The following is a 27,831-nucleotide window of genomic DNA, read 5'->3' as shown; positions in this document are numbered from 1 at the left end:
TGCAGCACTATTGACGATAGCAAAGACATGGAATCAAGCCAAATGCCCATCGATGATAGACTGGATAAAGAAAATGTGGTACAGACACACCATGGAATACTATGCTGCCATAAAAAGGAATGAGATCATGTTATTTGCAGGGACATGGATGGAATTGGAAGCCATTATCCGCAGCAAACTAACAGAGGAACAGAAAACCAAACACTGCATGTTCTCACTTATAAGTGAGAGCTGATTGATGAGAACACATGGACACATTGAGGAGAACAACACACACTAGAGCCTGTCAGGGGGTTGGGAGAAGGGAGAGCATCAGGATAAATAGCTAATGCATGTGGGACTTAATACCCAGGTGATGGGTTGATAGGTGCAGCAAGCCACTAAGGCACACATTTACCTATGTAACAAACCTGCATATCCTGCACATGTATCCTGGAACTTAAAATAAGATAAAATAATTTATATTTTATTGACAGTATTGCTTTGGATGAAGATGAACTTATTTGAACATTTGAACAGCTAGTCCATGGGTAGAGCAAGCACTATGAAGATGTGATAAGATTTCTTGAAGTTTGGAAAACACTTGACATAATGAATTGTGTGATTCAGATCTAACCCTTCTATGAGTTCATAAAATGGTAGAATCAATTGGCAAAAGGAAAAGAAAAAAGGGGGCTGCTATTTAATTTAAAATGGAAATTAGGCCTCTGGAAGGCACCATTTTGTCTACCATGTCAAAATAGCACTTTTCTTAAGAATTTAGACTAAACTTTAAGATTCCTTCCAATTTTAATATTTTACATTTGTAAAAATAGCTGCTTCTCATGAGCTTATTCCCTCAGTGTTTGCTGAAAGCCTACTGCATGTTAACCGGGTATGGTAGCTCACACCTTTAATCCCAGCTACTGGAGGCTGAGGCAGGAGAATTGCTTGAACCCAGAAGGCGGAGGTTGCAGTGAGCTGAGATTGAACCACTGCACTCCAGCCTAGGCAACCGTGTGAGTGAGACTCCATCCGAAAAAAATAAAAATAAAAATAAAAGAAAGCTTGGCTGGGTGAGGTGTCTCACGCCTGTAATCCCAGCACTTTGGGAGGCCGAGGCGGGCAGATCACGAGGTCAGGAGATCGAGACCATCCAGGCTAACACGGTGAAACCCTATCTCTACTAAAAATACAAAAAATTAGCAGGGCGTGGTGGCGGGCACCTGTAGTCCCAGCTACTCAGGATGAGGCAGGAGAATGGCGTGAACCCGGGAGGCAGAGCTTGCAGTGTGCTGAGATTGGGCCACTGCATTCCAGCATAGGCCACAGAGCTAGACTCCGTCTCAAAAAAAAAAAAGAAAAAAGAAAAAAAGAAAAGAAATAAAGCTTACAGCATGCCAGGTACCATGCTTAAAAAATAAAAGGGTATATTTGGAATATTGTCAGCGACCTAAGCCCTCATCCAGTTTGTAAGGAGGCAGAAAAGGGTCCTAGAGTGGCAGTCAGCTGTCAATTCATATGGACAGGGTGTATCGTGCAAATGAAGATTACATAGGTGACGATAGAGCTGCTGGAGCCCGAGGTGTGAAGTAGGAGATGGCATGTAATTTCAATTTGTTTTTTTTCTTTCTAGATATATATAAATATATATATTTATATACTCTTTTATTTTTTAAGCATAGTACCTGACATGCCGTAAGCTTTCTCTCTTTTTTAATATATAAAAAAAAATTTATATATATTTATATATTAAACATATTATATTGTATATATTGTATATATTTATATATTTTTATATATTGTATATATTTTATATATTGTATATATTGTATATATTTTATATATGGTATATATAGTATATATTTATATATATTTATATATTTATAAATGTATATTGTATATATTTATATATCATATTATATAATATATATCTAGAAATAAAAATATATATAATTAATATATTATATTATATTAATGCAATATACTATATTATATTATATTAATACAATATACTATATTATATTATATTAATACAATATACTATATTATATTATATTAATACAATATACTATATTATATTATATTAATACAATATACTATATTATATTAATTATAATAATATAATATATTATATATTATATATAGCTGCATCTGTGCTATCTATAATGTGTTATATATAATATATATTATATGGTTATATATTATATGATATAATATATATATTATATATAACCATGATATATAGAATAGTGGTTATATATATAACCAATATTAGTTATAAGGAATTGTGAGAAGAAAAAAATAGAGTATCATTGTTTCTCATCTGCTCTCTCTACCTCTCTCTCTGTCTCTCCATTTTTATAATATATATAATATATATATTTCTAGCATTTTGTCCATTTTAAGTGTTCAGTTCAGTGGCATTAATTACATTCACAGTGTTGTGCAACAGTCACTTCTATCCATCCCCAGAATATTTTTATCATCTCAAACTGAAGCTCTACCCATTAAACACTGATTCTCTATTCTTCTCTCCGCAGAGTTCCTTATCACCACTATCCTACCTTCTATTTCTATGAATTTGCTTCTTCTAAGATATTTCAAATATGTGTAATCTGAGAAAAACTAATAACAACATTCGTCCTTTTGTGTCTGGCTTATTTCACTTAGCATAATGTTTTCAAGGTTCATCAATGCCATAGCATATGTCAGAATTTCATTCCTTTTTAAGGCTAAATAATATTCCATTGTATGTATATTATGCCATATTTTGTTTATCCCTTCATCCATCAATGGACATTGGCGTTGTTTCCACGTTTGGGCTATTGTGAATAATGCTACTATGAACAATGCTGTGCAAATATCTGAATCCTTGCTTTTAATTCTTTGGGCACACACGTAAAGGTAGAATTGCTGAGTCAATGGTAATGCTACGTTTAACTGTTTGAGGCCCTACCATACCATTTTCCTCAGCAGTTGCACCACTTTACATTTCAACCAGCCATGCACTCATGTTCCCATATCCACGCATCCTTGCCAACACTTCATGCTTTCCAATTTTTGATATCAGCTTTCCTAAGAGGTATTGCATAATATCTCAATGTGATTTGATTTGCATTTCCATAATAAAAGACATGTGATTTTGAATGTTATTCTTTAAGTGATGCAGAAATATTAATCAGTTATTATTATTGCTTTCCTGTGATTCAGGCATAGGGGTACATTTCCATTTTAAAAATAAATTTGGATGTTTCCTTTAAGGCGAGGTGATTCCAGAGATGGAGAAGATGAGACTCATCCATGAATAGTGTTGGGGGAATGTGAAAAGGACTTGACAGAGTAGATATGATGGGCTTTGAGGGGAAAGGAGAATTCAAGACACCTCCTAAGTTTTTAGTATGACTTTCATGGGGCATGTGGTGGTCTTGTAGTAGAAGGACCTCTTGGATGTGAAGATAAATCCTGATCATGTTGCATTTGCTTATCTGTGAGATAGTCAGACCTAGAAGGTAGAAGCAATTATATGATTTTAAAGATCCAAAGTCTGAACTGGAGGTAAAGATGTAGATGTCATCAGAATATGGTTGATGATTGGAGGAAGCAGCATGGATGAGCTCATATAGAGAAAGTGAGGTCTGAGAATGGATTCCTGGGGAACATCAACATTTATGTAAGTTGGGAAGATAAGAAGGATTCTGTGAAGGCTCAGAGAAGTAAAGGGATAATGAGGACAGCAGAGTACTATGGAAGCTGACAAGGTAAAGAGTTTCAAAGAATTACCGATTTCACTCCATCAAATATAACAAGAATTTCTAGAAATACTAGAACTGATTCAAAACAAAGTCTCTTTATATCTTGTACTGGAACTCTGGTCTCTGTTCATTGAGTCACATCCTGTATTTAAGTTCTAAGCCCAAATTCCAATTTCAGGCACAGAATAGACACTGACATCCACCACAACAGTTTATTCAGTGTTCCTCTTTACCTGACACAAATCCTCCTCAAAGAAGCTTTATCTTGTGTAAAAGGAAATGAACATTCCTTTGAGGCAAGAGTTGACAGAACTGAAATGCCTTCCAGTGTCAAGGCTGCAGTAGCTTCCATCATGATTCATTCTGAGCCCAAAAGCTTGGTGGCATTTTCAAGGCTTCTTCTCTTATGTAGTGGTGGAGAAGAACTGGAGAGAGCTGGTCGACCCCATGCCTGGTGTCTGGGGGTCAGTGGGTCACTGAGGGGAATTTAACCCTGCCTGTAATGACTTCAGGAGCATCAAGCTGTATCCTCTGTGTTCACTGTGTGGTCAGCATACTTGACAACACTCTCCCTGGCCTCTGGTTCCCACTCTACCTCCCTGAAAGTCTTCACCTCCTAACCTAATTCCTGCAATCTTCATTTTTCCTAGGGCTGAAGAATGCAGCCACTATCTGTCATATCATCTCAGAGTGGTCTCCTCATAGCCCTACTGATGTGGAAATATGACTCATTCACATTCCATTGCTGCGTCTGTGCTACCTCCTCTGTTTAGACCCTTTCCTGCTGTCCAGAAATAGCTGAGTTTACCTTCTACCTATAATTTATTAAAAGACTTCAAGCATTCAATTTTTGATCATTTCAGTTCATTCTCAGCTTCGCAGTGAGAAGTTTCCTCTGTGCTCATTGCCTTTGGCCATAATATTCCACCCCCAAATTACTGTAATTCTCAGGATTACAGTGAGTCACACCTTGGAATTAAGGCATTCTGTGCCAGGGTAAATATGTTACCTAGAAGGGCTAGCATATTACATTGTCGTTTCCTGTTAAGATCATGGCCAACTGGTCATTATCCCATCACCAATAAGACTGTGAGAAACATAGAACAGATATGTTTTCAAAGACTGATAGATTTTCAATTTGTAAGGTTGCTTAGATATAACTTAGTTCTACTTCCTAGGTGATCTACAAACTCCTTCTTTGTGACACTAATCTGGTTACCCAGATCCTGGTTGAACATTTCCTGTGGCATAGAATGATCGATATACAAAACATACATATATCTGGAGAATCTAATGTTTAAATGTTTTGGAGGTTTTTGTTTTGTTTTGTTTTGCTTTGATTCGAGCCAAGGTCTTACTCTGTCACCCAGGCTGGAGTGCAGTGGCATGATCACTGCTTACTGAAACTTTGACCTCCTAGGCTCAAGCAATCTGATTAATTGGGACTACAGATGCACGCCACCACATCCAGTTTATTTTTTTATTTTTATTTTTGTGAAGATGTGGACTCATTATGCTGCCCAGGCTGGTCTTGAACTCCTGGACTCAAGCGATCCTCTTGCTTTGGCCTCCTAAAGCGCTGGGATTACAGGCATAAGCCACTGTGCTGGCCATGTTGAGATTCTTTACCTTGAACCCTAAACTATATTTTCTCCCTGGGAGAGCCTAGATTAAATTATATTCAAATGTTTATTGAGCACCTACTATATACCAAGCACAATGCTGTGTGTGCTGGGCACAACAGGAACCACAAGGCTTGACTCTGTTCTCTATAAGCCCATGTCCTATTGGAGTGGTGGAATGATGTATGGGAACAATATAATTGGACACCCTTGTTTAATTGTGACACCCTTGCTTCCCTTTCGAATTAGCTTAGCACATTCTTATCATGCTTTTGTTTCTCTTTGTGAAAGACTCCAAACATCGAAACTACGTTAAGACCAGTTAGAGCTTCTTTCATTATAATCCAGTTAGGAGACAATTCATCCAACTTGTCTTGATTATGCCACAGAAGCTAAGTGATTAAATCAGAATCTGAAAAGAAGAAACGAAAGCATTAAGTGCATCCAAAAATAAACTTGTTGAACCTGGGGATAGTGTAAGAGTAGGAGACTTTCTGAAAGCCACTTTGGAAATATGATTTTAATGAGATTCATTATTGTCCTTTAAGGTCAAAGTTGAAAGAGTAGTCTATCTGGCTAATATCAAAGAGGTTTAATTTTTGTTGATTTGGAGATAAAGCAAGTATAAGCTTTTCATTATAAATATGTTTTTATACTTGGAAAATAAGAAATAGAAGCAATCAGTAGTCACATATGTGCCCTGTGATCTGGTTCCTGTGAACATTTTCTATAAATTTAAATTATACGTAATCATTTATAGTCCAGAAGCAGGTGCAATGTGGATATGCAAAGCTGTTGAAATGCTATTTTTCCAAAGTTGGCTGGAAATAATACCATACACAGGAGGATGGAAAAGTACCGATGGAAATAATATTGTCCAAGTATCCCAGACCCTTCAAAGACTTTCAGAACAATAACAACTTGAGAAGTGTTACTCTTATGACTCAGTGATCAGAAGACATTTCAGAAACAAGAGTTGTATGAAATCTTGAGTCAGTCACACAAATTGCAAACGGATCTCCTGCAATGCCACTAGGAAGTGAATACGGTAGAAACAGCACTTCTAAAGTTAATGAGTAAGAATCATGTTGTGGGGCTAGCATATTTCACAAGAAAGCAAAGAAGCCAATTACTTATATATGTTTTTAATGACTGTATTTTCCTCCTCCTCTCTCACTGCCCCCAATTACAATCAAAATTATGATTCATCTTTTGCCCAATTATTTCGCTACTATGCATATATTGTTGCTACTGATTTCATCGGGAGGCATTGAGTAGAATAAATGAGACATATGTGCAGGTTATGTTTTCCAAAAGGTAACTCTCAGGACAGGGTGATCCAACGCAAATTCACTTGAAACTGCTTGGTTTCATGAACTCTTGAAGTGGTAGCATCAATTAGTATGAATTTCAAATTGGTGTTATTTTCAAATAAAAATCCAAGTGTGCAAAGACAGTCTTGGAAAGGTTAAACTAAAAAATAGGATTACTTAGGCTTTCAAATATATCTTGTGTTTCAATATTTTTACCTTAATTTACACACTAACCATACTATGCTCTTATTGCTAAAAATAAGTTTGAAAAGGTCTATATTGTAATTGGTCTCAAGACAAGTTTTACAAGCCTGGTGGTGAAGGCATCTTATTAGTCTATTATCTGTCCCAGTTTTGTTCCTGAAGCAGAATTCTCTGGTGTGATCACTTAACTTGATTGCAAAACTTGTCTCCAAAGGCAATTTTGCTATTTCCCAAAATCAAATTCATCGCATAAAGGTCAGGGATTTTCCTGGCAGCGGACGTTCGAAAGAACACGCCACAAAGTCTGCAGGCATTTTCTTTGGGGAATTAAAAAAAGGTGCTCTGCCATTCAGAAGCGTCATTAGACTAAGAGTGTGGTTCCCCAAGGGACTTCTTGAAAAGGCACCATATTTTCTTTAAATGTACAATTTCTTTTCTATTTTAAATGTTAAAAATTGGAGACATCACTTTATAGTCACATCCTGTATTCTTTCAGTGACTGGCGAAGGGGAGGGAGGGAAGTGTGGACATGTTCCTATAACAACGAATCAAAGAAGACGCCTTGTGCTTTTTCATTGTTTGGTGTTAGTGACATCTGTGACCCCCTACAGCTTTCAGAGACATCCTTAATTAGCAGTAAGTGTGTGACCTACTGTTGAAGTCCTAACCTCGAGTATGAGGGTATTTGAAGAAGAGTCCTTTGGGAAGTAATTAGGGTTGGGTTAGGTCATGAGAGTGGGGCCCTCACCAGGGACTAAACTGGCCATCATCTTCATTGTGGACTTGCCAATCTCCAGAACTGTGAGAAATACCTGTTGTTTAAGCCACCCAGTCTTTGGTATTTTGTTATGGCAGATGTAGCTGACAAAGAAAGTAGGCACACAAGTCTTTTAAAATGGCACAGACAAAATCAGGACGGTTGAATGAGAAGGAAGGTGAACGGAATTTTTCCCTGTGTGAACGTCTTTTCAGAATGCGTGCCTGAAGCAGCTCAGAGGCGGCAGCCCATTCCAGCAGCAGAGAAGGGATATGTCCTTTGTCAAGACATGTACTAAAATGCCCTAGGAACTTGGAAATAAAGGGATAAATGATGTCTTTTGAGAATGAAGCTGTAAGAATAAAATGCATTACATTAGACATGTGGTAGGAAAACTATGAGATAGTAATTAAATGCACTACAGAGGAGTTTAGGAACAACCAAATATCCCATCAAGGAAATCATGAGACAGGCTGGAAGTAACTGTAATTCTCTACATGAAAACCTAATCAAACATATATGCCCTCCATACATTTTAATTGTTTGGAAAGGAAGGAGATGGTCAACCCTTAACACAGTAAAGGAAAGAAAGTCTTTAAGGCCAAAAGAAATCAGGAGAATTCAATTTCATAATTATTTCGTTCATAATGGAGGCTCTGAACCCAGGGTTTATTGACACTCACTTGCAAAGCCATCCAAATCCATCCTGAAATTTTATTCACTCATTTATTCATTGGATAAGTATGTATTGAGTATCAACCTTTTGCTATTCCCAGAACAAATGCTATGTATTCATAACATGAATCCCACTCCTCACGCTTAGTGTTATGATGTATGTAATAGTGTGTGTATATTTGTCTTTTCTAAAAGTTCTACACTTTTAATCGGATTTTCAAATGACAAGGAATCACAGATCAATGAGCAATTTAGCTCACTCTATTTGATCATTATGATCCAGAAAACATCTGCCTCTGTATTATTTGTGAAAGATATTTTTTTTCTAGTGCAATAGTTAGCTTGCAAAATACATAAGGCAGACAGAAGAAATCCTGTGATCCTGAATTTGGGGGAGGGTGAAAGGGATGTGGGAGTCTAAGAACAAAGTGCTTGGAGAATCAGATTTTTTAAATGTGTCTCCTAATGAAATACCCAATGATTAGCACCTTACAGTTTCTTAAAAAGAAAATCCCGGCTGGGCGCGGTGGCTCACGTCTGTAATCCTAGCACTCTGGGAGGCCGAGGCGGGCGGATCACCAGATCAGGAGATCGAGACCATCCTAGATAACACGGTGAAACCCCGTCTCTACTAAAAATGCAAAAAAATTAGCCGGGCGTGGTGGCGGGCGCCTGCAGTCCCAGCTACTTGGGAGGCTGAGGCAGGAGAATGGCGTGAACCCGGGAGGCGGAGCTTGCAGTGAGCCGAGATCGCACCACTGCACTCCAACCTGGGCGACAGAGCGAGACTCCGTCTCAAAAAAAAACAAAAACAAAAACAAAAAGAAAATGCCCATAGCTGCAAGATGAAGTCACATTTATTCTAATCCATAAGTATTAATAATTTTGTAAATAATTGTATTTTTAATAAAGATTTTATAGCACAGAGCAGCTCTTTGGCAAACATAGTAGCCTAATTTCAGACAGAAACACTGGTAAAACTTAATGGCTCCCCAAAATTGTTTATCACACTTTCTAAATTACAAACCAACTAGAGAACAAAAAGGGTGGAGGAGTGTTTAAAAGACAGAATGGGGAGACGGTTTGGTAGCAAATCTTGAGAAGTGAATGCAGTTCTCCGGTGGATTCTTTAATAAAATATAACTCAGATAATTGGATGTGATTTCTTTGCTTGTTTGTTTTTGAGCTGGAAAAAATCAACAGATTTCTCTCTTCTAATCCTGCCTGCAGGTCTCAGTTCTGAGCAGTATTGCCTGGTGGAAACATTTTGGCAGCTACTGTATATTGTATGCTTAACCAGGTTTTTAATCATCCCAGACAGGGGGGACATTTTATTTCAAACTAGGAGCAGGCTATGAAATGGGAGGCTCATTAGGAACAAAAACAGATGAGCTCCAATTAAACTAACTGTTCTCTGGCAAACCCCCAGTGTCTTGGAGGGTAAATTTGTTTAACTAAAGTTTACAGAATAAACAAGTGTGCTTCAGGTGTCATTATGGAAAAGAAAGTCAAGGGATGACTCTCCGTTGGTTTCTTAGTCAGATTACTTCTCATTTACTGTCACCTGGGACTGTTCAAAATCAGGGCTTCCCTTTGGCGCCATTGTTTTCTTCTGAGATAATTACTGAGGAGTATTCAGAGCGCCATTAAATTCGGATCTCACCATTAGACTTCAGAGCTTGGTTGCCTAAAGATTACATTTCTTTCACTTGCTTTGCTTTCAGAATGACTTTCTCTAAAGTAAAAAGATGGCTACCAGAGGCTGGGAAGGGAAGTTGCTGGGTGGGTCGGGGGCAGAGTAGAGAAGATGGTTTAATGGGTACAAAAAAACTTGGAAAGAATGAATAAGATCTAGTTTTTGAAAGCATGACAGGGTGACAATAGTCTATCTAAATATCCCATATACTCCATAAATATATACATCTACTATGTAAACACAACAGTTTAAAAAATGAGTTTTTCTAAACCCTGGAACATGGACACTGCCAGTCCTAAGATCAGTCCCTGTCAGTTCCTTGTCTTTTCTTGGATGACTTCTTTCTGTACAGGTTCCGCCATATACGGTGTCTCAGGCCTTCAGGAAAACTCAGTTTCCCTTCCAAGTCTTCTAGAAATAGTGCCTTTCAACGCTGGATGACTATTACATTCACTTGAAGATCTTTAAAAATCACCAATGTGCAATCCCCATTCCCAGACCTGCTGATTTTAATTATTCAAGGGTATTTTTTTAAAGTTTTAAATTTGTGTTCATATTATTTTAAGTTCTACTGGTGATTCTACTGAGAACCACTGACTCAAACAGTGTTCCCTCTACATTATTCAGCAAGAGACCTTGGAAAGTCAGCCAGGCACTGCCAGGAAATTCACTTGAAGTATTTTCAGTGACATTTGTCCTCAAGAACAGAGAGAATTTATTGTGAGACCTTGCCAAGCTTAATTATTTCCAGGTGCTACATCTTGTTCAGAACATCCCCTGTCATGCCCCATTCTGCACCCCAAGTTAGGTCCGCCATGACAATACAACTGCCAATGCCATCCTTCATCAGACTTCCATGCTGTGTTACATGACACAGACACATCTCCCAGGCACGGCATGCACTTACCCATTCCCTGCCCCATGTCCTGGGCAAAATCCTATTTCTTCAAGACCAACTTAACTCCCATCTTTACTTCTGAAACACTCATTCTACCGACAGCAAATTTCCATTCTTCCATGCTTCTGTAGAATCTTGAACACATCTCCATTATAGCTCTTGATGTATAACAACATCATATATAATTTGGCTTATCTGTTTTCCCCAGTAGATTATGGTCCCTTAAAAAGAGACACCTAGAGCTTACAATGAGGAGTGGCAATGTCTGATTTACAGTTGGTCAAAAGCAAGTTTCTTTCTATCTTACGGCTTATGCAAGTCCTCTTCTTTTACATGGTATGTGCTGTTGCCCAATTTTACAAGAATGGGAAGAAATTCAAAAGTTACCTCTTGGAAGAGGACAGCAAGAAGCAACTCCCCAATCTGCCTCTATTACCTTACCCTGTTTTATTTCCTTTGTAGAATTTATGGAGCATCTAAATTTCTCTTATCTACTTGTTTATTCTTTAGTGTCCATTTCCTCCTCTGCATGCAGGTTTCTTAAGGGCAGGTGCTGCCTTATCAGGACCCAGCATAGTGCCTTCATCTACATAGCAAAGATTTGCTCTTAACCAGCTTTCAAGTTAGATAGACGTGAGTTCAAATTCTGGCTCTACTAATTCTGGTTTGTGTACCTTGTTGAGATGCGTAGTCTCTCTGTGCTTCAATCGCCTCCATTTTAAGGCTCTCTATTGCTCTCCTATTGACATAAATACTTTTAAGGGCATGAGGTGCGAAGAATAAACATTATTTTTAATGAGTAGATCAACCAAAGTTTGCATGCAAATTTCAGAAAAAATGCAAATGTCAGGGGAAAGAGTATGTTTTAGGATAAAAATAATTGCGTAATACTCTCTGGTAGAGATGCTGCTGTAATTAAATAAGAAGGTATTTGAGACACCTAACTGAGGGCCTGTCCTTCCTCCTTCACTATAACCAAAGTCACTCTGCATTCAAACTATATAAGCATTCCGGATATGAGGCCTCTTAAATTCTATAATTCTATTTTCAAATAAAGTTGTGCCAAACCATATTTATGGTGAAATTCATCAAACTTGTCCTACTGTCCAGCATAATTTGGGAACTCATTTGGTCTGAGTTCTCAGGCAGGTTATATGTAGAAAAAAAAATGGTAGATAGATACTGTGTTTTAAGGAAGTTCACGTAATAAATAAATATGAAATATAAATTATCTTAATCATCTGTATATTAATTAGAATTGAGCCAATTAAAGCTTTCTATGATTAGGCTTTTTGGTATTTATTCAGAAAAAACTTCAATAAGTGGGAAAAAGTGAGAAGGCCCCAATGATTACTTGTTAGTTTTATCTGCATGATACCCACACTGCCAAAGATTATATTCTCCTGATTATTTGAGAAGCAGGTAACTGGCTTACCAAAGCAGGGAAAACACGTGGCCAGCTCTGCCTGTGTACTGAGCCACTCCATGTGACCAGGTGGATGTCAGGGGAAACTCGTGGCCTTTCCAAACATCTGATCTGCAGCTAACATTATAATCTGGGAACCCCTGTTTTTATTGGGTTTTTGTTTGTTTGTTTGTTTGTTTTTACAAGGAACCTCTGGCCTGTCATATAAGCATTAACTCCCGTAATAGTACAATATTTTATATGAAAAGGTCTATACTTTTGCTATTCACATGAGTCTCAGTTTTTCTAAGCCAAAGCCAAATAACACCTTATTGGTCCCTCCACATTCAGAGATGTTCTATCACTTGTCTCCTCTCTCCCTACATTCACTTCTTCCTCTCTGCTTGCTCCTCAATATGTTTATATGTCATGCTTGCACCACTTTGTTCCTATGTCCTGTCCTCTCCCCTTTAGCATTTTTGAATCCCGTAAAACAGAAACACACCTGTTTCAATTCTGCAGCTAACGTCTCCATGTGATTGCATTTCCATCCTTACTGATCTTCTGTACCAGTGACACCCATATTGCAAAAATGAAGTCACTTTTGACTTCCGTGGAACTCTATGAATTTGAAGCTAATTATAATTCATGAAGTGTGAAAAAGAAAATTATTTTTGGCTTTTGACACAAGGCTTTCCCTCTCTGCTTCCAACTCCTTTGTTCTCTCCCACAGTAATTGTTGTAGGCTCCTCCTCTTCTGTAACATTCTCCAAGACTCTCACCTTGACTGTGTTACTCTTTTGCCTTGGGGAGTCTCACACATTGCAATGGTATGGACCATCACCTCTGTGTGGACTGTCTCTCCAGGATATCTTGACAGCGATGGTGCAGGGATACAGTGAACTCAATACTAGTTTTACTATTTCCACTTGGCCCAATGTATTCCTCTTTGGTCTCCCTATGTCATCACCATTCATCAGTTGTCCAAGTTAGAAATTTGGGAGTCGCCCATATACTCTCTCCTTTCTCATTGAATCGAGCACTGAGTTGTGGTTATTTTACCTCTCAAAAAATCTTTTGAGTCTTCCTCTTCTACTTCATTGCTTGTAAAATTGACATTGCACAGACTTTACCATTTGCTGCCTGGAATATTATAAGCCCAACTCATCTCACTTTTTTAGTCTTGGATGCTGTATCTTCCTCCTTTCCTCACCCCTTAAATCCATACTATAGCCAAAGCAAGCTAAAATACAAATCTATTCATGCCATTCTCCTGCACCAATTCTTTAGCAACCCCTTATGAACATCAAATGCCTTGGGATGACATATTCAGTCCTTCATAACCTCAATACTCCATACCTCTCAGGCTCATTTCCAACTGCTTCCTGGTTTGTACTTTTTCATTTTTTAGTAATATGGAATTTCTAATCGTTCCCCAAACACATCATGCGATTCCAGACCCCCCATACCTTTGCTTTAGGCTGTTGCCTCTGCCCAGAATTAGCATCTTAACTTTATTGGTGTGAGTAATTCTGGCTTATCATTGAAGAATCTGCACTACCACACTTCTTTATAAGCTTCCTCTGAAACAATATCCAGTTTCACTTAATAAAATAATATCAGCAATAACCCCAACTCAGGTGGGCAGTAAGATACATTCCAACCATATTTCTGCCACTAACCAGCCATGTGACCTTAAATAAATTGCTAGGCTTCTCTAGTTCTAAATTTCCTTTTGCCTATGGTAACCTCTTTAAGGCAGAAGCTTTCCAAAGTTCTCTCCAGTTTCTATTTTTTGTGTCTTTTCACCAGGGACAAAATATCTCAGAGTTGTCAATAAATCAGCAGTTTAGTACAACTACAAGTAAGCTTTGTTGTTTATTGATCACTCTTAGGTAAAGTGGCTTTTATATGAAATCAATACGTGTGTTAAATGTATTCAAAGTAATTGCCTTACATACTTCAAGGAATCACACTGTTCACAGAAATGAGGTCTGCTTAGCCCCACCTTATGGATTGTGTTGTTTTGTTTTGTTTTCTTCCTCTCATTAATGAAAGTTACCAGTTCCGGGAAGATAGACGTTGGTAGAAAGGGAGGAGCAGATTTTGAAATCAGATGTGGGTTCAAATTTCAGCCCTGTAATTTACTTTCTTTGTGACCTTCAGGAAGTGACATAAGCTCTGTTTCCTCAGTCCTAAACTGGAGATATTACTACTAGAGGACATCAGCAGATCAAACGTGTTAAACTTGGGAAATGGTACACGAACACAGGAGGCCCTCCCATGATGTTGTTGCTGTGATTGTCATTATGATGCTAGCTAGAAAAAATAAGAGCAGTCAGAAAATGATACTCAAATCTTTCATTATGTGAGGGATGTTTATACCAGTGTCAGGTAACCATGATATGCTCTGATAATAGGTTAAGATGTGATCCAGGGTTAAAATGTTTCAATTTCTTTATTTAAAGATAAGAAACACAGAAGCCAGAGAGGTTAAAGGACTTATCTCAGAATAATTCTCTGTCAATTGATGTTCCAGTGACTTGAATCCCATTGTTCTGCGTTCAGGTGGAATTCCTTCCCTTTAGTTTATACTTCCCAAACTTGAGCTTGCATCGCAATCATCCAGAGTACTTGTAAAACAGATTGCTGCACCCACCCCAGAGATTCTGATTGAGTAGGTCTGGGGTGGGCCCGAGAATTTGCATTTTTAACACTCTCCCACGTATTGCTGATGCCACACTTCGAACAGCATTGCTGCAGACAACCCCGTTCTGAATTGGCCAGGAAGAGTTCTCAGTTTTCTTAAACACCTCACTCCTGGGAAGTGGCAAAGAAAGATGAGGCCATATGTCTTGATTATGCACTACCAGATTTTACATGGGATTCAGCACTGCCAGTGAATGGAGTACGAGTATTCTGCTCTTACTGCCTTTTCTGCTTTTTCCCTTAGACAAAAGGTGTTAAGTTTCAGCAAAACATACTCTGAGGCTTATTTTATAAAAATTACAGTTTGTTTTGGTTGATGTGTTTATAGTCATATTCAAAGCTTTCAGAATGCACATTGAAAACTGCAGTGTCTGAGATGAGAAATTGGCTCCGGGCTCATCATTTACTTTGTGCAGTGAAAAACCAGGCAGCTTTTGTACTTCAATGGTGGGAAAAAATAAAGCAAGGCTAAATGCTATCTGGAAAGATGAAACACAGAATGAGTTTGAGTAATTGAACAGTGCTGCCTATTTATCTCCTCTAAGAAGAGGGAAACAGACTATAACAAAGTTGACTTGTTAAGTCTGCAGTTTAAAGCTCCCAGCTCACATTTCCTAGAAACAATGTTGGCCTTTCAACTGTATTATAAGTTACAAAGGGTTTTAATGAACTTACTGGAAACAAAATTATTATTCCTAAAGTTATTTCTGAAGAAAAATGCCTTCTACTTTGTGGTGAGAAGGAACGAGAGGTTCCAAGAACAAATAAACGTCATTTGGTGGAGAAAGAGGGTCTTACAGCAGTCAGATTAGATTCAATCCCAGCACCAATAAATTGTGTGCAAAAACGAAAGCACTTTGAACTTCTCTCAATTTCCTTATCTGCTAAGTGCAGATAATATACACCTAACAGAGTCCTTGTGACAGTTAAGTGGGATAATATATGTGAGGACTCTGCTACCGTATCTTTAACAGAGTAGGCACTCAATAAATTACTGTTGTCATTGCTTAAGGAGAGTGCATTCTCTGGTTCCTGTTTCTTCATTTTCATCCCTTTTTTCATCCACAGAACCAAGTCAGCTCCACCCAGGAAACAGGAGGAGGTAGGCCACTTCAAATCCCACCTTCCTCTATTAGGCAGGGCAATTCAGCCTCGCCCAGTTCAAATCCAAAATGAACTGGCCAAATCCATCTTATCACCCAAATAAACATTAAGAGCTTTCCATTTCAGGACCCACTTGGAGGGCAGGTTAAAGGGGTTTTGTGGTCACTCAAATTTTTTTAGAACTTTAGTTACTTATTACATTTTCAGTTTCTTCATAAGCAATTAAGCAATTTCATAGTGTTTTCTCCCAAGGGGAAATTGAACTTTTTTCTCTATTAACATAACAATACAAAATATTTAAGGGTGATGTATTGTATCTATGTATGTTAATTAAGGGGAAACCATGTGTATTCATGAAGGTAAATGTTTGTTGCTTTCGGTAGATATTTCAGCAACATTCATTAACTCATTATCAACCTCCTACTACATGTCAAATCTGTTCTCAGTGCTGGGAATCATGAATAAAGCTGGTAAAAATTCTGCCTAATAGTGTTTAGAGCCTAGTGGGAAAAACAAGATAAATAAAAACAATATGTAGTTTATATGATAGTGGTAATTGCTAAAAAGTATAAAAGGGTTTGGAAGAGGTGAGGAAGAATTGGGAGTGGAAGCATGTAATTTGAGAGAAGGTAGCTGCTGTACTTACTAAGGTCTAGGAAGAGGAAACTGCAAGTGCAATATCCCTGAGATAGAAGCATGTCTGTATGATCAAGGCACATAGTGGAGACCGCTGTAGCTGGAGTGAGTAAGGGGTGTGTAGTGAGACAAAAAATCAAAGAGTTATCATAAAAGGCACATACCCCATTTTAAATGGGATTTTATCTTTTTTTTTTTCTTCTTTGAGACGAAGTTATGTTCTTTTTGCACAGGCTGGAGTGCAACAGCGCGATCTTGGCTCACTGCAACCTCCACCTCCCGGGTTCAAGTCATTCTCCTGCCTCAGCCTCCCTAGTAGCTGGGATTACAGGCATGCACCACCACACCTGGCTAATTTTTGTATTTTTAGTAGAGACAGGGTTCCACCATGTTGGCCAGGCTGGTCTCGAACTCCTGACCTCATGTGATCTGCCTGCCTCGGCCTCCCAAAATGTTGGGATTACAGGCGTGAGCCACCGTGTCTTTTTTTTTTCTTTTTTTAGTAAGATCTATTGGAAGGTTTTGAGCAGAGGAGTCACATGACTTGATCTATGCTTTAAAATATTACTCTATCTTTTTTTTCTGTAGAATAGAATATGGGGAGACAAGGGCAGCGGCTGAGACGACTTATTAGAGGAGTCATGAAGGAGAGGATGGTGGTTTTGGTCTGGAGTTGGCAGTGGTACTGAGAATTAGCCAAATTTTTTGCTAATCATTTGCATGTTAGCTGCAGATCCTTCTGCTTAGCACCTGCTGGAATCGATGGTATATGCCTACCTGGAAAATTCACCATTCTAAGACAAGGGACGTAGGAAGGGTCTACACTGCAGAAGCATCTGATTTTAAATGGTCATGAACAAACACTCACATGGCACATATTCTCAATTCTTTTTTTTCCGCCCTTCCTTGGCAATGGCTGGATGCCCCAAACGTGGAGATGAATACTCTGGGAAGGTTAAGTTGCCTCTACCAGAAAATTCTAAGTTGCAACGTGCATGTTCTGTTTCCTTCTTGTTTCAGAGCTTTGCACACTTTGTTAGTCTTTTATACTGTAATTAGTTTTGCAAATAACCTCTTAATTTTCAACTAGAAATGGTATTTTTTTTTCTGAAAACTTGAATATCATCTTGTACTCTTTTCCTCTCCAGCCCTAGTGGTTCATTGGTTTTCAATATCTATAGATTTCATCACGTCTGTATCTGTCACATCCATTCAAGTCTCTCCAGTCAGTTTGCCACATTCCTAAATCATCTGTCCCTGAATTTCTGAAACAGCCTCTTAATTAGTCCCTTTACCTTTAGACCAGCCACCCTCTTCCCCCAAACCCTCAATCACTTGTCCACACAGCAACCACGGTGATCGTTCTGAAGGACACATTTGATGCTGTGTGCCTCTGTTTATAGCCTTTTAGTGGCTCTCTCATGCTCTCAAGATAAAAAAAAAAAAAAAAAACAAAAAACAAACAAAAAAAAAAAACACCACCACAACAAAAACCCTCTTTTTTGGGTGCTCTAAAGACCCTTCGTGATCTGTGTCCTGTTTACGTTAATAGCCCTGTATCTTGAAATATGATTTATTCCTGTCTAATTCATCAACTTTGTGTTATTCCTACCCAAACACACTCACTCAGGAAACTGAGCTCTTGCCTATGTCTAAGATGAAGTATGATCTCCCTCTAGGTTCCAAGCTGTTGAAACCACTGTTTGCTCTATAAGTAACAGATTTTTCCTATCTTTGTCTGACCCTGCTCATACTTAAGAGCTCTGTTCAGATGATGTCTTTTTGTCAGAAAACCTGTCTAGAATGAAGAGTGAGTTAAGTGTCTGTGAAATGAGCTCCCAGGATGAAACCACCTTTGCTCTCACTATAATATTTAATAACTGCCTCTTTATTTTTCTGCATTTCCCATTTGACTGTAGGCTCCAAGAAAGAAGAGCTGGCTCATTTGTACCTATCATATTCCCAACTCCTGCATCAATGTTGGGCACTTACTGGATGCTCAATAATACTTGTTGAATTGTCTTGGATTGAATAAAAAAGCATAAGAACTTTACAATTAAGTGCACCGACTGTGCAATTTATTCTCACTGGTGTCAAGACATTGAGTCATCCTCCATTTGGAGTACTTCTTTGCAAAGAACTATTATCCTTATTCAGATCTATGACCCTGTCCTCATCTTCTGCCACTGATGAAGAGACAAGTGTTTTCTTATTTTTAAGCCAGACTATTAAAAGGAATGAGATGTGAATTAAAATTTCAGCCCTTCACTCTTTCAGACTTGAAGACAACTTCAGTAGACCAATGGACCTCAGATCTACTTTCTCTTATCTATTCATGAACCTTGTCAAAATAATGTAAAAGCAAAGTCTAGTTGCCTTATGGAAGTTTTCCCTTATAGGTAATCAATAGTGTGGCTATAGACTTTTATTGTAGATCACATGTTATGGTTGAAATCTTTTTAACTATTATCTTTTATATTCCACCCCTGCCCTTCAGTCCTCTGGACATGTACACACACATAGAAATGGCCCCTGTACACACACTTGCCTAAAGCTAATTGGTGCTGGGACGAAACTTTCACTTGGGATTGATAGGGCTTCTACAGTGAACTCAATGATCCAGCGTCTCTGATGCTCTCTCTTCTCTTGACTCCCATGAAACATTACTTTCTAGGTTCTCCTTACATCTCACTTACTAATCCTGCTCTGGCACTGTTGGCTACCCTTTCTTCTGGAAGGTTGATTATTTGCTCTTTTCTCTTTCTATCTCTCTTCCCTGAATATCTCATTCACTACTGTCACTTCAATTATCTCCTTTATGTGGATGAATCCCAGATTATCTTCTCTCTCACTCTGGCCCTCTTCCCAAGGCATAGCTCCACATTTTAAGTTATCAGCTTAACAGCTCTACCTGGATTACCTGATGGTTTCTCAAGAACAACTTTATCAAAAATTCAATTATCTTCACCTCTCTACACGTTCCTGTTTTCAATTTCACCCGAGGTGACTTGAAGCAGCTGTATGGCCCTTCAAGAGTTTTCTTTGTCCTAAAAGGACCCCAGTCATTAGGAGCGGGTCCCTAGTGCTCTTTTGTACTTGGCAATAATAGATTGATCCAGACAATAACAGATTGATCCAACGGCATTCGTCTGACCTACATACAGAATCTTCCTCGTTGATGTTTGAAACTTGAAGACTGGGAGTTGGGTAGATGCCATGGTCAAGAACACCCAGAGAGAAGCATGCTAAGGGCAGCCCTCTCAGGTAGAGGTCAGCAAGTTCCTGCTGCAGGTCATTCACAGCGTCCTCTTTCCCAGCCCTTCCTAAGTCTTGGTTGTGCAGTTCTTTCTTCGTGTTAATGAGTTATCCCAGATTCCCTACAATACCTTTTAATTATTTCACTAGTCAGAGCCAGTGAAATGTTGAAGAATACGTCCAACATGTTTCACCATCAGTTAAGATCACCTTTGATACCTCCTGTCCTCAGCCTCTGAGGACATGTGAAGCCTCAGCCTTCACATACGCTACCATGCTCTGCTGGGTTCAGCTTTGCAGCTTTGCTGGTTTCTGTGTCCAGTCCCTTTCTGCCCACTGATAGGACATCTGGTATAGACCATTACAACAGCCTACTCACTGGTTTTCCTGTCTCTTGTTTCCTTTCTCTTTTCTTTCATGGTTGTGGTTGCTTTTATTTGCGCTATTACCAGATGAAACGGACCAGATACTGCCATGATCATGCCTGTCAACTGCCTGAAATGATCATTAAATCTTCCTCATTCCACTCTCTTATAGATATTTGCAGGTCTTCGTAGTTTTCCCCCCATCCTAGTCTAATGAATTCTCCCTTGAACCCACTGCACTACTTAATAAAATTACTTGCCAGTCTCTGATTATGATTTTGCTGATGCACTTCATGAGATTCAAATGCCTGCGTGAGGAAAGAACCCTGTCTTATGCCATCATTCATTCAACAAATCATTATAGAAAGCCTGTAACTGACAATCTCTCTCCTAGTTCCTGGAGACAGTGAGATGAATGAGGTCGGTAAAGGGCCCACATGTGAGGAGCATCTACACAAGTGGGATGAGATAGGAAATGAACGTGCTAAGAGGCATTTAAAAAAAAGAAGTTCAGGGAGGTTGGTGAGTGCTACGGAGAAAATTAAATAAAAAAACAGCAATTTGATCAAGAGGAACCAGGGAGTGGTGACAAAAACACAGAATCCTTCTGATAGTGTGGTCAGGAAAGGCCTCTCTGAGAAGACAGCATTTGAGCCTAGAAGTGAGTGGCAAGAAAGAGAAAAGAATAAGGAGACAGTCTAAGAAATAAGGGGACAATCTTGGGGTAAAGAACATCACATGGGGATCACAAAGTACAAAGACCAGTGGCAGGGATAGTCTTAGTTTATTTAATAAATCGAAAGACTATGTGGGCAGAGAACTGTGATGAGGAGGTGTGGGACAGGATTACATTGGTCTGAATTGAGATCCAAGAGGACTCAAAACACAGCGAGAAGTTTGAATGTTATCCCGAATATAATGGACAGCTATTGAGGGACTGTAAGCAGGGAAATTATATGAAAGATATGCTCTTTAATCTGGCTGCTGTGTAAAAATAGACCTTAGGGGTGTGAGAGCGAAAGTAACAAAATTAGACAGGAGTTTGCTGAGTGGTGGCTTGGGCCTACGGCTATGTTAGCAGGGTTAGTGAGAATTGGTCAGATACAGAATGTACTTTGGAGGTGGAACCAATGGGATTTGTTGATTGGATTTGTTTAGGGTCTTGCATATTCTAGCATATAGCAGACATAAGTGTTGTTAATTGACTCATTAAAGGAATGATTGAGCTGCCACTCATGGTCAAGCTCAGACTCCATGCAACACTCCCTGACTAACATCACCCTTCCACTTTCTTACTCCTCTCCTGCCCCTGAAATCCTACCACACTTTAAACGCATTTTCTCATGGACACTAATGTTTTTCCTTGGACTTAGTAACTTATGTGCATTCCTTCCCTTTTCTTCTGGGCTGTAAGCTTCCTCACACCCTTCATGCCCCACAGTCCCTTGCATATTTTGCATGGTACATAACCGGTGTCAACATTTTTTTGCACAAATGCAGTGAGGTGGAAATTATGCAAAGGTCAAAGTCCTCAGATAAAGAAGAGATTACTGAGCGATGGCATCGAAATCTGAGGATCTTGTCAAACAGATGAAGTATAATAATACAGCTCAGTTAGTTTAGGCTCTGCCTTGCTTGGAAGCCAAGAACTAGCTGAGTGACTGAGAGTGGTTCTTTGAAACCAGAGAGGCAATGTGAGTGTGGCTTGTGCAAATGGGAACGGGTTCTCATAGCAGGACTGAGTTCCAGCTTCACTTACCAGCTTTGTAACAAGTGTCTTAACCATTCTGGATCACAGTTTATTGGTCAAATGGGCATAATAATCGAAATACCTCAGAGATGGCTACTAAAAAAATAATTACTTTTAGAAACAGAGTGTTTGCTTTGTGCCTGCAATGAATGCTTTAACTACATTAACGCATTCATTGCCCCTGACAGCACTGTGAGATAGATGCTTTTATTATCCCCATTTTATAAGTCGCTGATATAAAGCACTTCCCACAGCACCCAACAGAGAAAAAGATCTCTATAAGACTAGAAAAGAAAAAAAATCTAAAATTGGCATGGAGCCAGAATGCCTGTTTTTAACCCTGTTTTGCAGCCATTTTTGATTTCAGATCATGCAAACCTTTTTAGTCTCAGTTTTCTCATTTTAAAATAGCCTACGGTAAAGAACAAGTGAGAGAAAGCCTGGAAAAGTGTAAATATAGGTAAACTTACTCCAGGAAAATCATGAATAAAAGTAGACATTCAGAAGGGGTTAGAGCTGATTTTTAACTGAAATGTATAAGATGCAAGCACATTTAAAGGCAGTGTTAGGAGAAAGTGTCTTATGGCTCTTCAAAGGATAAAGCCCCCCATTTCCTAGAGTTTAATTGCTACCATGTCTTTGAAAGTCATGCTCTATGGCTTTCTCATGTTCAGAGCATTGCACACTTGAACTAAAAATGAAAAACTCAGTAGCTGAAGAGTTTAGTTCATTTTTGGTTTTATCCATCCTAAGAAGGCTGAATTAGCTGATGGGACTGATAACATGCGAATGCCTTTCTCTACTTATGCAGTAGTTTCTCCTCTCTTTTCTTTTGTAATCCTCTAGGACATTCTTTGTGGGAAGAACACATCCCAGTTCTGGGTACTGTAGGGTTCTATCCCTGTAACTCCTAGTTCATGTCTGGGCTTGCACCTAAAATGAAAGGAGAGTGTCCCTCGGTCTGATCATTAGTTTATACACTCTAAATTGTTTAGTGTTCCCTTTTTAATATTTTGAAATGTACTTTCCTCAAAGTCCTTTCTCTGTGACAATTAGTTCAGAAATAGGAATGCTAATTAAAGCTGCCCTTTCCTTCTCAAAGACAAAGTTCTTTTTCTGTATGTTAAAAATAAAACACACACACTCATTCTCACACTCACATGCACTTACCTCAACTAGTTTGTTCCTAATAAAGTGGACTCTGTCTTCGTGAGCTTCAGTTTATGTTATCTTTTTTCTTCTTAAAGAGTGTTTCCTGTTAAAAATAACTAATATATTACATCTATATAGTAGGCAGAATAAAAACCCCAAAGATGGCCATATCCTAAACCCAGGAATTGTGAAATAGTAAATTTGTGTTATTTTGGGTTATGTGACACAAGGTAATCAGTATTGTGAATGAAATTAAGGTTGCTCATCAGATGTCCTTAAAATAAGAATTGTATGGTGGATTATTTAGGTGGGCCCAATGTAATCACAAGGATAAAAGAAAGAGGGAGGTAGATGGGTCAGTGTCAGAGCAATGGAATGTGAGAAAGACTCAAATGGTCATTGCTGGCACTAACAATGGAAGGGGCCACAAGCCAAGATATGCAGGCAGCCTCTAGAAGCTGGAAAAGGCAAGAAAATTGATTCCCTCCTAGATCCTCCAATAGGAACGTGGTCCTGCCAACACCTTGATTTAAGCCCAATGAGAACCATTTCAAACTTCTGACTTCCAGAACCGTAACATAATAAATTTGTGTCAGTTTTAGCCACCAGGCTTGTGGTAATTTACTATAGCAGCAACGGGAAACAAATACAAACTGATTTCAGCATTATAGTAATGGGTACAATAACAGAAAATAAGCAATCTCAGGCACATAAGCTGCAACACTGACTGTGAGTTCTAGGAAAACTCATTCCCAGAAGAATGATTTTGTTTCCAGTTCTCTGGGCCTCTGTATTTGAAGCTGAGGTAGGGGAAACTTTTCTTCTTCCTCTACTTCTTTTAAGAGGGCTTAGTCCCTTTTGTCAAAGTGATTCATTGGGATGTGACCCCTAGCTTCACTGATTGCTGGGTTACAATGAATCTTGGAAGCTATTCATAGATGCTTCTGATTTAGGGAGCACTAGCAAGAGTTTGCATTCATGAACAGTAATATGGACACAGGTCATATTAATCCTGGCCTTCATGACCAGTTCATATGTCTTCTCTTTCTCTGGGATTTTCCTGATCTTCTCACTATAAGAAATCTCTTCTATAGTGCATATTCCCTTTTTGCTTGTAACTTAGCTATTATATAGACATCTTCATACCCTGTTGCAGTGGAAAGAGAACTGGACTAATGGTCCAAAAACCAGGCTACATGTCTGGCTCCCAGTCCTGTGCCATGACCTCAGATAGGTAGCCCTTAGAGAGTGAAGGCCTACCATGACCCATGCCCTGCATTCTGGTAGGCATTCTCTAAACATTTATTCTGTGCTCTCTTTTTTTTTTTTTTTTTTTTTTTTGAGATGGAGTCTCACTCTGTCGCCTGTGCTGGAGTGCAGTGGCATGATCTCGGCTCACTGCAACCTCCACTCCCCAGGTTCAAGTGATTCTCCTGCCTCAGCCTCCAGAGTAGCTGGGATTACAGGTGCCCACCGCCGCGCCCGGCTGATTTTTGTATTTTTAGTAGAGACAGGGTTTCACTATGTTGGCCAGGCTGGTCTTGAACTACTGACTTCAGATGATCCACCTGCCTTGGCCCCCCAAATTGCTGGGATTACAGGCATGAGCCACCATGTTCGGCCTACTCTGTGCTTTCTTTGTTCATCATCCATTGAGAATGTTCAGGGCTCTAAGGTTGGTGAAAAGGGGATTTCCAAGTCATTGAGACTTCACCCATTCTAATCTCATAGATAAGGAAAATGATCCGATCCGGGTGATAATTGTATGTGGGGTGGGGGAGAGGCAGAAAGGGAGGGAGACAGGAGAAAGCACATGGAATTATTTGGGGAGGAGAGTTTTGGGAACTATATGAAATATTCTTTCCATATAATCTTGATATGGTTTGGCTGTGTTCCCACCCAAAATCTCATCTTGAATTGTAATCCCCATAATTTCCATAATCCCCACATGTCAAGGGCGGGACCAGGTGGAGGTAATTGGATCATAGAAGTGGTTTCCCCCATGCTGTTCTCATGATAATGAGTGAGTTCTCATGAAATGTGATGGTTTTACAAGTGACGGACATTTCCCCTGCTTGCACCCACTCCATCCTGCCACCCTGTGAAGAAAGTGCCTGCTTCTCCTTTGCCCTCTGCCATAATTGTAAATTTCCTGAGGCCATGGGAATTTCCCCAGCAATGAGGAAGTGTGAGTCAAGTAAACCTCTTTCCTTCATAAATTACCCAGTCTCGAGTATTTCTTCATAGTAGTATGAGAACGGACTAACACAGTCTCTACAACTCCTATACAACAAAATATGCTAAAAATATTCATTCAGTTTCTCTTCAGAATTGGAAAGCATTTAAGCCAAAGCCTGCTGGGTTCTGTTTCCCAAGTACTGTTGTGGTGCAAGAAATGAGCTTACGCAGCTCTGAGGACACCCAAGTCAGTCTCTGGAATCTCGTGCCCAAGAACTGGGAGGATCAAGCTGATGAAGTGGTATATCTATGGCAGCAAGGCCCTGGCCCAAATGAGCAGGAAGGTATGACAGGGCCTAGGAACAGACCTAGAAGTAGGACCAAGCCCCAGCCATGGCTACAACATCCATGGAGATGCCATTTGTCATACTTTTAAAACCACTTGTTCCATTTCCAAGGTCATCTGAAGCTGTGGCTGAGAAAATGAAGCTGATGAGATATTCTGTATTTCTAGTTATAAGAGACGCATAGACTGGTGGACCACGGAGGTAGGATTAATTGAAGGAGAAATAGCCCCTTGATCGGCCCTTTCCTGGAGCCCTCTTTTATTCATTTTAGATCACGTCTCCCTGGCCATCTATGAGAATCTCACAAACAGAACACAGGCCCCATTCATCTATGTATCCTCAGATTTCTCAGTGCCTGGAGTAAAGAATTGCCTGTTTCTTCTCTTTCTCATTTCTCGCTTTCCCTTTTCTTCCTCTCTTCTCCCTTCCCTTCATCTTTTCTCCTTCCTCTCACCTCTATCCCGAGCTCCTTCCCTCATCTCATTTGTGTTTTCATTGCTCTCTTAACCTTGTTCCCAGGAAAGAACTAGTTACTGAATATTTACACTTCACTATGAGGTTAACGTCACATCCTACTTTTCTGAAGGTCATTCGCATTTTAAATCTTGTGTCTCTTTGTGTAATGGGGCCACAGTAAAAAATAAAATAAAACAAAACAAAAATGATGACTTTGACACATACTTCCCCTCCAATGTAAGAACCCTGGCTCTTGAGTGAGAATTCTTGAAGTCAAGTCCCAGCTCCTCAACTGCTAACACTGTAGTTTTGGGCAAGTTACTTAAGCTTTTGCATCTCAGCATTCTGATCTATATAATGGGGTTAATGATTAGTTATTCTATTGAGATATTGCGACAACTCAATGAGACAGTTTATGTAATGCACACAGCACACTGTGTGTCACGTGGTAGGAATTCAGTATTATTGTACTACAAACTATAATATATAAAAGGGATAATGATCATTATTATCCTGGAGAATCACGGCCTTAAAGCCAGCCCAGTGTGGTGGGATGTGACAGACACCTATTACAGAGAGATTACATCAAAAGGGATATGACAGGAGAGCCACAAATTGCATACTGGATTAAATGGGTAAACCCAGGAACTCATTCAGGTTAGGCCACAAAGGCTGGGAAAAAGAAATTATGGCAAAAATGTCATAAATCCTACTAAGGAAAGCTTATATTCTAATGCAAGTTTTCTGGTTGGACTTCCAAATAGTCTACTCATTTGTTTATGTGAAGATTACATACTATACATGCTTTGATCATAAGATTCATGAGGACTATTTTCAAGATACATTAGTGCAATATTGCTGGAAGTGTCTTAGGATGGAAGGTAGTTTTTTCCCTCAGCTTTCTATTTGAAAATCCAATCGACCTTGTGGATTCAATAGGGCATTCAAAACAGAAGGCTGTGGTACTTAATAGTTTAATGGACATCCATATACATATTTTAAAGAAGTCCATTCAAGACACATTTACTAACCTTTCAGAATGAGCCTTCAGCTAAGTGAAACTGCTTGAGTCTGATCATGTTTGAGCAGAAAGTTCATCTGGAGAACATTTAGGAATTTTCAAAGTAATTGAGAAACCCCAAGATAGAAAGGCTTGATATACTTTAATGTGGAGGTGATGTTGAGGGTAGAGTAGAGGGCACCTGCGGGTAGATAACTTTCATCATTTTGGTGAGAAAATCTTACAGTGTGAAGAGACATGAAGGGTCATACACTGACCTTGTCTTTGTTACTTGCCCCATCAAGTCCTGATGTTAAGTGGCATCTTTCACCAACTATCCAATCTCATTTTTCTCGCCTGGCTTGGAGGTCTCAATCTGGCTTTACCACTGTCGTGAATGCTGTCTTTTGTTTTGTTTTTGTTTTGTTTTTGAGACAGGGTCTCATTCTGTTGCCCAGGCTGGAGTGCAGTGGCACGGGCAGCCTCTGCCTCTTAGGTTCAAGCAATCCTCCCACCTCAGCTCCCCAAGTAGCTGAGACTACAGGCCCATGTCACCATGCCGAGCTAACTTTTGC

General features: G+C 39.2%; 1 protein-coding gene across 7 annotated transcripts in view, besides 1 other annotated feature; it reads left to right on the top strand.

Moving 5' to 3' along the window:
• The window catches only part of KCNIP4 (potassium voltage-gated channel interacting protein 4), a 1,220,167-nt gene that overhangs the window by 931,129 nt on the left and 261,207 nt on the right, over window positions 1–27,831 (top strand). The gene's annotated exons all lie outside the window — the stretch shown is intronic.
• Window positions 4,564–4,858: a silencer, noted in NCBI's record as "tiled region #6369; HepG2 Repressive non-DNase unmatched - State 24:Quies". NCBI's record gives its function as "represses a minimal TATA promoter and a strong SV40 promoter by Sharpr-MPRA in HepG2 cells {active_cell/tissue: HepG2}" and the evidence as "EXISTENCE:reporter gene assay evidence [ECO:0000049][PMID:27701403]".

This window comes from Homo sapiens, chromosome 4, assembly GCF_000001405.40.
Source record: "Homo sapiens chromosome 4, GRCh38.p14 Primary Assembly".
Taxonomy (NCBI): domain Eukaryota; kingdom Metazoa; phylum Chordata; class Mammalia; order Primates; family Hominidae; genus Homo; species Homo sapiens.
Note: the sequence above shows the minus strand (reverse complement) of the source record. Positions and strands in the feature narration are given on the sequence as shown.